We start from the raw sequence: 12358 nt of genomic DNA, 5'->3' as shown, positions 1-12358 counted from the left end.
CTCAGACCACAGTGCAATCAAACTAGAACTCAGGATTAAGAAATTCACTCAAAACCACTCAACTACATGGAAACTGAACAACCTGCTCCTGAATGACTACTGAGTCCATAACGAAATGAAGGCAGAAATAAAGATGTTCTTTGACACCAATGAGAACAAAGACACAACATACCAGAATCTCTGGGACACATTCAAAGCAGTGTGTAGAGGGAAATTTATAGCACTAAATGCCCACAAAAGAAAGCAGGAAAGATCTAAAATTGACACCCTAACATCACAATTAAAACAACTAGAGAAGCAAGAGCAAACACATTCAAAAGCTAGCAGAAGGCAAGAAATAACTAAAACCAGAGCAGAACTGAAGGGAATAGAGACACAAAAAACCCTTCAAAAAAATCAATGAATCCAGGAGCTGGTTTTCTGAAAAGATCAACAAAATTGATAGACTGCTAGAAAGACTAATAAAGAAGAAAAGAGAGAAGAATCAAATAGACGCAATAAAAAATGATAAAGGGGATATCACCACCGATCCCACAGAAATACAAACTACCATAAAATACTATAAACACCTCTACGCAAATAAACTAGAAAATCTAGAAGAAATGGATAAATTCCTCAACACATACACCCCTCCCAAGAATAAACCAGGAAGAAGCTGAATCTCTGAATAGACCAATAACAGGCTCTGAAATTGAGGCAATAATTAATAGCTTACCAACCAAAAAAAGTCCAGGACCAGATGGATTCACAGCCGAATTCTACCAGAGGTACAAGGAGGAGCTGGTACCATTCCTTCTGAAACTATTCCAATCAATAGAAAAAGAGGGAATCCTCCCTCACTCATTTTATGAGGCCAGCATCATCCTGATACCAAAGCCTGGTAGAGACACAACAAAAAAAGAGAATCTTAGACCAATATCCCTGACGAACATGGATGCAAAAATCCTCAATAAAATACTGGCAAACCAAATCCAGCAGCACATCAAAAAGCTTATCCACCATGATCACGTGGGCTTCATCCCTGGGATGCAAGGCTGGTTCAACATATGCAAATCAATAAACATAATCCAGCATATAAACAGAACCAAAGACAAAAACCGTATGATTATCTCAACAGAGGAAGAAAAGGCCTTTCACAAAATTCAACAACGCTTCATGCTAAAAACTATCAATAAATTAGGTATTGATGGGACGTATCTCAAAATAATAAGAGCTATTTATAACAAACCCACAGCCAATATCATACTGAATGGGCAAAAACTGGAAGCATTCCCTTTGAAAACTGGCACAAGACAGGGATGCCCTCTCTCACCACTCCTATTCAACATAGTGTTAGAAGTTCTGGCCAGGGCAATCAGGAAGGAGAAAGAAATAAAGGGTATTCAAGTAGGAAAAGAGGAAGTCAAATTGTCCCTGTTTGCAGATGACATGACTGTATATCTAGAAAACCCCATCATCTCAGCCCAAAATCTCCTTAAGCTGATAGGCAACTTCAGCAAAGTCTCAGGATACAAAATCAATGTGCAAAAATCACAAGCATTCTTGTACACCAATAACAGAGAGCCAAATCATGAGTGAACTCCCATTCACAATTGCTTCAAAGAGAATAAAATACCTAGGAATCCAGCTTACAAGGGATGTGAAGGACCTCTTCAAGGAGAACTACAAACCACCGCTCAATGAAAGAAAAGAGGATACAAACAAATGGACGAACATTCCATGCTCATGGGTAGGAAGAATCAATATCGTGAAAGTGGCCATACTGCCCAAGGTAATTTAGAGATTCAATGCCATCCCCATCAAGCTACCGATGACTTTCTTCGCAGAATTGGAAAAAACTACTTTAAAGTTCATATGGAACCAAAAAAGAGCCCACATCGCCAAGTCAATCCTAAGTCAAAAGAACAAAGCTGGAGGCATCATGCTACCTGACTTCAAACTACACTACAAGACTACAGTAACCAAAACAGCATGGTACTGGTACCAAAACAGATATATAGACCAATGGAACAGAACAGAGCCCTTAGAAATAATGCCGCGTATCTACAACCATCTGATCTTTGACAACCTGACAAAAAAAAGAAATGGGGAAAGGATTCCCCATTTAACAAATGGTGCTGGGAAAACTGGCTAGCCATATGTAGAAAGCTGAAACTGGATCTCTTCCTTACACCTTATACAAAAATTAATTCAAGATGGATTAAAGACTTACATGTTAGACCTAAAGCCATAAAAACCCTAGAAGAAAATCTAAGCAATACCATTCAGGACATAGGCATGGGCAAGGACTTCATGTCTAAAACACCAAAAGCAATGGCAACAAAAGCCAAAATTGACAAATGGGATCTAATTAAACTAAAGAGCTTCTGCACAGCAAAAAAAAAACTACAATCAGAGTGAACATGCAACCTACAGAATGGGAGAAAATTTTTGCAGTCTACTCATCTGACAAAGGGCTAATATCCAGAATCTACAATGAACTCAAACAAAGTTACATGAAAAAAACAAACAGCCCCATCAAAAAGTGAAGGATATGAACAGACACTTCTCAAAAGAAGACATTTATGCAGCCAACAGACACATGAAAAAATGCTCATCATCACTGGCCATCAGAGAAATGCAAATCAAAACCACAGTGAGATTCCATCTCACACCAGTTAGAATGGCGATCATTAAAAAGTCAGGAAACAACAGGTGCTGGAGAGGATGTGGAGAAATAGGAACACTTTTACACTGTTGTTGGGACTGTAAACTAGTTCAACCATTGTGGAAGTCAGGGTGGCGATTCCTCAAGGATCTTAAACTAGAAATACCATTTGACCCAGCAATCCCATTACTGGGTATATACCCAAAGGATTATAAATCATGCTGCTATAAAGACACATGCACACATATGTTTATTGTGGCACTATTCACAATAGCAAAGACTTGGAACCAACCCAAACGTCCAACAATGATAGACTGGATGAAGAAAATGTGGCACATATACACCATGGAATACTATGCAGCCATAAAAAATGATGAGTTCATGTCCTTTGTAGGGACATGGATGAAGCTGGAAACCATCATTCTCAGCAAGCTATCACAAGGACGAAAAACCAAACACCACATGTTCTCACTCATAGGTGGGAATTGAACAATGAGAGCACATGGACACAGGAAAGGGAACATCACACACCGGGGCCTGTTGTGGGGTGGGGGGAGGGGGGAGGGATAGCATTAACATGTTAAATGACGAGTTAATGGGTGCAGCACACCAACATGGCACATGTATACATATGTAACTAACCTGCACGTTGTGCACATGTACCCTAAAACTTAAAGTATAATTTAAAAAAAAGGAAAAAATAAAAAAATAAACAGGAAAGGTCTTAGGGTTGATCCAAGGAGCATTGCTCCTGATAAGCTGTGGTTTTATTCCCTTTTGAGAAGTAGCATAGGAGTGGTAGAAATCACATGGACTTGGTTAACCACTAAGACCTGGGTACAAATCCTACTTCCACCTCTCATTAGCTGTAGGTCCTTGGACTACTTACTTCATCTCTGAGTCTTTGTATCCAGCTTCGCCAAACTTTATAAGGCTCAGGAAAAATACAAAAGGACAGAACGCCATGAGGGAAGGGCGGGCCCTTAATACACATTCCCTTCCTCTTTCTTATGATGTGGTTATTGGTTTCCCTTGGATGACTATTTAAAATAAGAGTCTGAAACACTCCACAAATGTGTGAGAGCACAGCTGCTCATCTAGCATTTGAGGTTTTTATTACGCAAACTGATAAGACATATTCTGTAATTGGTGCATGTTCTTTTTTTGCCTAATGACACTAATCTGTTTTATCTTAGTCATTTAACTGAGTTTCATGATTAGCACAGGCAAGGTTTTAGGGATTTAAATCATTTGTTTGATGTTTTTGCTTTCAGGCATGTTTGATTATTTATTAAAATCGATAAAATCAGCTCTGTCAACTAGTTATTAAAACTATAATTCTTTTATTGGCTAATACCAGGAGGGCTGAGGCAAAAGAAAAACTAAAACATTACATGAATTCTTGATTATGAAGCAAGTTTCTATAGGGGTGGCCTACATACTTTGCATTAACTGAAGCCTGTTTAGAACAAGTCTGTTCTATCTTTAGTCAATAAGGAAAGGACCAAGTGGGTAAGCATATGTGCAACTCATGTTCTAATTTATGCTTTAAAATAAAAACAAGTTTGAAAGAAGCAATGTGTTCTGGTCTTCAGAAAAGAAATACCAAGTACGTGCTAAGGGAGAGTGGTGAATAGTATCCAAAGACGACTTCCCTCCATTCCTTCCCACCCTGTACCTGCATGTCATTCCAACCATCAAGAGGTAAATGCTCTGCCCCTTTTTCTGAATCTGGTCCTGCCTGTGACCTGCTTTGGCTGGTGGAATATGGTGGGGGTGACACTCTGCCAGTTCTGGTCAAGGTCTTCAAGAGGCCTTTAAGAGCTTCCACTTTGAATGTAGAAAGCCAGATGCCACGCTCTAAAAAAGCTTGGGCCAGAATACTAAATGATGAAACACCACATGGAGAAAGAAGGACACATGGTGAAGTTCAGAGATGCAATGTGGGACAAGTAAGTAGCATCTTCTTGTAGCTCCCAGCCCAGCCCACCCCATATGGAACAGAAGAACTGCCCAGATAAGCTCTACTAGCATTCCTAATGTAAGTACTGTGAATAATAATAAATTATTATCTTTTTAAGCCACTAAGTTTTGGGGTGCTCTGTTATTCATCAATATATAACTTAAACAAGGGCAGGAGGGATAAGAGAATAACCACAGACTTTCAGGTAACTTTTAAAATAAAATATTTCATTGAAGGAGTGAATTTCTATTGGCCCAGGATTATCTCTTCCCTTCAATGAAATTTCAACAGAAAAATCTCCTCTTACTGAAACATTGTAGCAAAGAGAGAGAACGCACTCAGATGAGAAAACATTGGTCTAGCATTCAGAGTTCTGGCTCCAGCCCGGGCTCTGCCACTCAGTGAAACAATGCTGGATAAAGCAGTTCCCCCTTTGGGCTTCCATTTTGTCATCAGTAAAATGAAAAAAAGTGGCTAAGTGGGTCATTTGGCCTAGGATTTAAAGCCTTAGGTGTAGATGCTTAAACATGAACTCTATGTATTGTTTTACACGTGATCAGAGAAAGATACTCAAGGATGGATAATAGATAACGTTCTCCACAAAACTTTATGTCTCATTATCTGAACTCACTGCCTGTGTAATGTGGTGTTAGTATTTGTTTTTAAAAACTATAACTTGTGACCAATGCAGTTATGTTGCATTGTATTTTGTATGCTGACTAAATTTTAATTTGAAATTTTCAAACTTTAAAAAATGTTGTAAATGTTGTAAGCTGGTTTAGGTATTTCTTTGTTTCTAACATTTTGGAAGTCTTAGAAGATAGGACTGATCTGTACCTCTTTTAAGCTGTAAGAAATCCTAGGTGTTAGCTATGTTGTCTCTAGGATCCCTTTTAGCTCTACAAGTTGACTGTCACCCAGGTTTTCTTTCATTATTGCACCTACAGAATAATAAAGTACATATTGATTATAATTTGTAATTTTTCTGATATCTTTTTATGGTACCAAGACATCCTTCTGAACTAATAGGCTTTATCAGAAATAAAAGTTTGTCCCAAGAAATCAAAAATTTTTACAGAATTTTTTATAAAATAACATTTACAGAATGTTTTATACGTCTTGGTGTTGTTAACAAAATGTCTGCCCACTCTATGTGGGCAACTTACTAACTTACTAACTTTACTAACTTTATGTGAGCTAACTTACTAGCCATAGGCAGCTCTTAGACAGGTGTCTTGTGTCTGTGTGTGTGCATGAACACCTGTGCACAATAAACAGATGTTACCAAAATCATAATAGTATTTTAACCCCAGTTATATGAAAAATTCAGCCTCTCCTCCTCTCCTGCAAAAAGACAAAAGAAACAGAAAGAAAAAAGAAGCTTTTAACTTTGTAAAAAATTAAGTACCCAAGAGAAGAAAGAAAAAAGATAGTAAATATATAAAATATATGCAAATTAAAGCAGTATAATACCATTATCACCTGTCAAACTGGCAAATTAAAAAAATTAATTCCCAATGAAGCCAAAATAAAGACATTTTCATTCTAAAAGACTAGAAGAATTTGTCACCAGATACTTACTAAAAAATATATTAAAAAGTATTCTTTAAGCTGAAGGAAGATTATCCCAGATGAAAGAACAGACATACAAAAAGAGTAAAGAGCAAAAAAAATATGGTAAATATGTGATGTGTCAAAATGAATACTGAATGTACAAAACAATAATACTAATGTCTTACTGGCTTTTGTAATATATAAAATTAAAATACACAATGTCATATTAATCAGTAGAGAATAAATAGCATTAAAGTGGCTATCACTAATGTTCATAATAAAGTTAAAAGTCCTAATATTAGACTTTGATATGTCAAAGATAGATTTAATAACCATGTAAATACCAAAATAATATAAGTAAAACTTTCAAACTCCTAGAGCAAAGCATGAGATAAGAAAAACTCTTCAATAAAATTTATCCAAAAACATAAAAGAGAAAAGAAAAAGAAGAGGGGATAGGCTAGATAGATAGGAGACACTCTGTAATATATCAATAATTACATTAACTATAAATGTACTAAATGCTCCATTTAAATGACAAAGACTATCCAACTGGATTTAAAAACAAAACAAAACAAACCACTATACACTGTTTAAAAGGCATTAAGTATAATGGTTGAAGGCAAAATATTTTTAAAAAGAGTAAAAATACATGCCATATAAACTAACAAAATGGAAACTGTGAAATAAAACAAAATATATTTTCTGTCAAAAGTACTATTGGAGTAAACAGAGGCAAATAAATAACAAATATTTACTCCTCAGGAAAATGCAGGAATTCTAAATTTGTATGCACCTAACAACATAACCTCAAAATACATGAATCAAAAATTAACAGAATTATAACAAGTAGTAGGTAAATCCACAATCATAGTAGGATATTTTAACATCTATTTCTCTGCTACTATCAGGCCAACTGAACAAAATCAGTATAGATGTAAAAGATCTGAAGAACACAACTAGCAAACCCAATTCAAAGCAAGTACATAGAATACTGTCCCAAACTAGATAAGGCACATTCTTCACAGGCACATGTAAAATGTAACCACAATTGATAACAGGCCATGAAGTAACTCCTAATAAATTTCAAGAGGTTGGAACCATATAGAGTATGTTCTCTGACCTCTAGCAACTAAATTAGTAATCAAAAACAAAAAAAAGTAGAAAATCCATATACAGTACTTGGAGTTTAAGAAATCTGTTTTAGTGGCCTCTACTTCCAGCTATGACAGAGTTGATAGTTGATAATAATCCTCTTCAAAAATAACTATAAAACTGGATGTAAGAATAATGATGATGACTAAATGTAATTCTGCCACTGTTGGTGAGAGAATTATAAGCGACTTGGTGGCTGGCTTTTCTTTGTGTTTTTATATATTCTCTGAGTTTTCTAAATTTCCTATTAGTCACTTTTCGTAAATTCAACGAGAATTACCTTTTCACTCAGTGACAATAAGAAGTTATTACAAATAAGCTGTAATTAATTTTTTTAATTAGTTATGTCTTCAGTCAGTAGTTGTTATTCTTATATGGGGGCCTTCAACGCTGTTTGATGTTATTAAAAATCTACTAATTCTTTGACCCAGCAGTTGCATTTCTACAAATGTATTTCTACAAAACACATTCACACATCTGTCCAAAGGTGGATATGCAAGAATATATACTGTATACAGACGTATATTCTGACCTTTTATTTACAGAACACTAGACTTAAATGTCCACTTACAAGGGAGTGGTTAAATAAACTGTGATACATCCATATAAAGAAGACTCATGCAGGCAATGACCGAGAGTAAAGTAGGTCTCTATACTCTGATATACTGTATGTCTTTGGTTAACTCTCTTTGTTTACAAGCAACAGAAGTTAATTCTGGCTTATGCAAGCAAAACAAAATGAATTGGAGCAATATGAGTTGATCCACAGAATGGACAGGAGCCTGGAGAGCAGAACAGGAATCGGCTACCCTAGACCACTGGGCATCAGGTATTGCTCCATCATCTTGTCTGGATTCTGGTAATGCCTTTCAAATATTGTTCTGATCCTGAGTAACTCTGGATCTGCTTGAGATTGAGTCTAAAGAGAGATAAGCTGGGTTGCATACCTAACCATTGGCTACTTGAGGACAGGGGACCTGATTTACAATCCCACAAGGAGTATGCAAAATTAGAAAGTCGTGATTCCCCCCCAAAATAAAATCAGAGTGCTATTTAAGGGGGACAGAACACTATACAGTAGAAAATGCATCCTCTACATACTGTTAAAAGAATAATGCAAAACCAAAAAGCGTACACATAGTAAACCACCATTTATGTTTTTTAAAAATGGGAGAGAATACATATTACATGTATACATGTAGAACATATTCTTAAAAAAAAAAAAAAACACTAGAAACAACCTTAACATTGTATCTCCCATTAGGCCCTAAGTTCCATGAGGGCAAGAAGTGTGTCTGTCCCATTCATTTCTGTATTTCCAATGACTAACAGTATGTCTTACACACAGGAGGCACATAATAAATAGTGGCAGAGTGAATAAAGGATGTAATTCTACAAAGGAGAAGAGGGATACTAGAGACAGACTTACTTTTCGTTTTTTAATTTTTTTCAAGTGCCTGAAGTTTTTATGCAATTAAAAAGGGTTAAGGATAATTCATAAAGACAACATATTTTTAGGGGGCTCAACAATTCTTTAAGAAGTTCGGGGATTGTTGTTATCAATGACCCACATCACCCCTCTTCCCTAAACCGCCTCATTGTGTATGTGCCCATACAGAGAGCCAAGCAGAAAAGGGCTCATTGTCCAGTGGAACAAACCAGCTCCGGCAGGAGAAGCTCCCCGTCCCTGCAGTGCACACATGGCAACACAGCTTCTCCAGGGCCTCAGGAAATAATGACTTACGGCAAGATAAATAGTCAAGGGTTATTTGGTCATCACGCTGGGGCTCCAGCTCTTTAGAGGTTTGCACTGATAGCAAAAACACTGTTGAGTGTCTAAATAATTTGAATGATATTAATACAAGACCCCAGAAAGAGGAAAACAACAATAGCTTGATGATAGCAAGCTGACAATGGGAAGCATTTTGTGGGCTGAGATGACTGTAAAAGCAAACAATGGTGATATTGTCCTTCTGGTGTTATTGTGTAATGCTGTAATTTATGGATGAAGTGGAATTTCAAACAAAATAAACAGACTTGAATTTGTTAACTAATACAGTAAGCATAGAACATTCTGTTATGTGAAAAGAGAAATGTTTTATACACTCCTGCTATTTGCTAAACAGAAATATGTTTACATTTGGCATAACGTCTTGCTTTTGGTTTTGCTAGCTTTTTGAGAATATCCTTTTTCATTTAATCTTGAACACAGATACAAAATGTGGGTGAAAGAGGAATATTGTCAATATATATCATTGTACCATTATATTATAGTTCTATAAGTTAAAATTACAACAATAATAACTTTATCTCTATCACAAGTGAAACGGTACGGGTTCCCTTGTCCTCCTCTCAGGGCGTGTGATGGGAGTGTGGCTCGTTTCTTCAGCGCCCCGCTGCTCAGACCTCTAGAGGAGCATACAGACAGGCAGGCTGTGGGGCTCCGATCCCACGACAGTGTCTAGGGCTGACTGTTTACAGCTCCCGAAGCCCCAGTGGACGTGTGTGCTCCTGAAGCCCCAGCAGGCGTGTGTTACTGGGTGCTCTCTTAGTTTGCCGTCTATAGGCAGCTTGTGTTAGCTCAATTGGACCCTCTACCTTATCGCAAGGACAGAGGGCTTTCTGTATCCCCGGATTTCTCGCCTTGGTGTACCGGAAAAATTGGTCACACGTGGCTTGGAGAATGAGTGCAAAGTTGTATTGAGTGGAAGTAGCTCTCCGGTGATGGGGGAGCGAGAAGGGAGGTGGTTTTCCCCTGGAGTAGGGCAGCTCGGCGGCCCCAGCTCTCCTCCCACTGCCCCAGCCAAACTCCACCTTGTCCCGCTGGTCAATGGCCTGCCGGTGCCTGTCTGTGTGCTCTTCCCCCAGCGGGCTCTCCATGACCAGCCACCTGTGTCTTCTTCCCCGGATGTGTTCCTCAAATGTCTAGCGACTTCAGTGTGTCTGCCCGCTAGGGCCTGCGGGGGGCGGTTTTTATAGGCCCAGGTTGGGGGCGTGGCCGGCAAGGGTAGGCTTGGAAAATACAACATTTGGGCGGGAAAGCAGGAGCGCCTGTCCTCACCTAGATCCATGGGGGTAGAGCCGAGCCAGGGACCCGCCTTCCTCTACCCCTCACTTCCCTTCCCCACTTCCGTATCATTTAAAGGGACCACGCTCTTCCGTTCCCGGTACTCCCGTATCACAAGTGGGCTATGATATCATGTGGGAACTATTTGGTTGCAGTTACACTTATAAAACAAAAGCTACTTCTCCGTAAACTATAAAAAGCAGGTTTTTATCTCAGAAAGGATTGTTAATAATAAATGACCACTATTTATGGAGCTCTTGGATTCACAAGAAGTGAGTCACCAATGACAAATTACGTATCTTACGTCTCAGTGCTGAGAATAGTGCCTGGCACTTAGTAGGTACTTAGTAGATATTTGTTGAATAAGTAAATACTTCTTCTACAAGCCGGGTATTGCTTTAAGTCATGGTTACATCTGTCAAAGACAAAACTAAGTTCGAGACAAAATGAACAAAGGCTGTTTATTCATAAATTGATGGCAAGGGAACCCATCTGCTGTCAGTTTCGTTTCAGCAGGGTTCCCGGGTGTTAGAGAGGAGAGTGATTTTTATAGAATAAAAAAGGATAGGCTGAGACAGCCTCTGACTGCTGAGGGTTCTATAAAGGTGAGATTTCTGGAAGCCAGGGTGACTTTCTAATTGATCTTCAGGTACATTTGACTGCCCTTTGTTGGCTGGGAGGGAGCAAACAAGCAGTCTGGGGACATTCTGGAAATGAATGCTAGGAACAGAAGGTTTTCCGTGGCCAGCCATTTCCTGGAACATGTAGTGCTCAATGGGGTGCCTTTTTTACAGTCAAACTGTCAGGATGGTCCTTTATGAGAAGCTGACTGCTTGGGCCAGTTTCTAACATCTGGGTTCTCTCCCCGACTTCAATCTCTCTCTCACTCTTGCTCTCTCTCTCTCTCAAAAACAAAAACAAAAACAAAACAACAAACAAAAAAAACCTGTCACCTAATTGGCAAAAACCTCCTAGAAAAATAAAAATAAGTCAGTTTTAAATTGAAAAACATTATTACCACTCAAAAATCCTAAATGCAGTAAAAATAGGAGTGATATAACCTCATATGTTCACGAGAACTCATCTGATGCAAGTAAACCTGCATTTTTATATTCAAGTCTTATTTAATCATGGCTGTGGTCTTAGGACAAAGATAAGTTCAATATTTTACGGAAGTTTGATTGATAGCAGTGAAGCATTGTCCTAAAGATTCAGGAACACGCTTTTTATAGATGTTATTGGAGTGCAAAATAGCCACCTTAAAAAAAAAAAGCTTACAAGGATTCACAACCTTTCTAGTGGCTTTGTCTTTATTTATTCATTTATAAAGCAGCTATCTAGGGGGAGAGTATTAGTGGCCATGGGAAATTTTAAGTAGAAATTAAATAGACCTTTGGCTTCATGCCCAGAAAAATATGTCAGTCCTGTGCAGAAAACCAGGCAAAAGATAAAAAAGATTCCATTATATCTATAATACAATCTTCTTATGGCTTTAGTACAAGTTTCTTTTCTGCTAACAGAAGTCCCTGCAGAAGGTTTAAACAATCTCAACAATTTCATTATGTGAGCGTAGCTAAATCCAATAATGTAAAAGGGCCTAGAGAGCCTTCCCATATGCTTGGTTCCATACCCTTTCCTTCTAGGGGAAGTCAAAGAACTTGGCTCTCAGGAAGCTGATTCTACTCCAATTGCCCGCAGCACAAATCTTGCATTGTTGACATCGAGGAAGCTCTCCTGAGGACACACAAAGAAGAGAAGGAGCCATTAGAATTTCTCATGACCCTGCTTTGAGCCAAATCCAGCTTCACTTAAATGAATGAAAATGCTTGTTATATGGCCCAAGAAACTACTTTGTCCATTTGAAAATTAATTAGACCATAGCTAGATGAACAACCCTAAGATGCTTTCACAATGTTCTTAGATGCATGACCCTGGCTGAGTTCCCAATTTTAACAAGTTTATCCTAAAGCAA

At 38.1% G+C, this 12358-nt stretch overlaps 1 long non-coding RNA gene across 24 annotated transcripts in view; it reads right to left on the bottom strand.

Moving 5' to 3' along the window:
• The window catches only part of SAMMSON (survival associated mitochondrial melanoma specific oncogenic non-coding RNA), a 435002-nt gene extending 424589 nt beyond the window's left edge, over positions 1-10413 (bottom strand). For 13 of the 24 annotated variants that reach the window (NR_186031.1, NR_186032.1, NR_186030.1 and 10 more), the window contains exon 1: positions 10134-10268. This is a non-coding gene — a long non-coding RNA (survival associated mitochondrial melanoma specific oncogenic non-coding RNA). Of the gene's footprint in view, positions 1-715; positions 878-10133; positions 10269-10380 lie in introns of those variants that run through there. The other 11 variants (NR_186029.1, NR_186026.1, NR_186027.1 and 8 more) reach the window with 2 other exon arrangements.
• Positions 10414-12358: the final 1945 nt, after the last annotated feature.

Source organism: Homo sapiens, chromosome 3, assembly GCF_000001405.40.
Source record: "Homo sapiens chromosome 3, GRCh38.p14 Primary Assembly".
NCBI lineage: Eukaryota > Metazoa > Chordata > Mammalia > Primates > Hominidae > Homo > Homo sapiens.
Note: the sequence above shows the minus strand (reverse complement) of the source record. Positions and strands in the feature narration are given on the sequence as shown.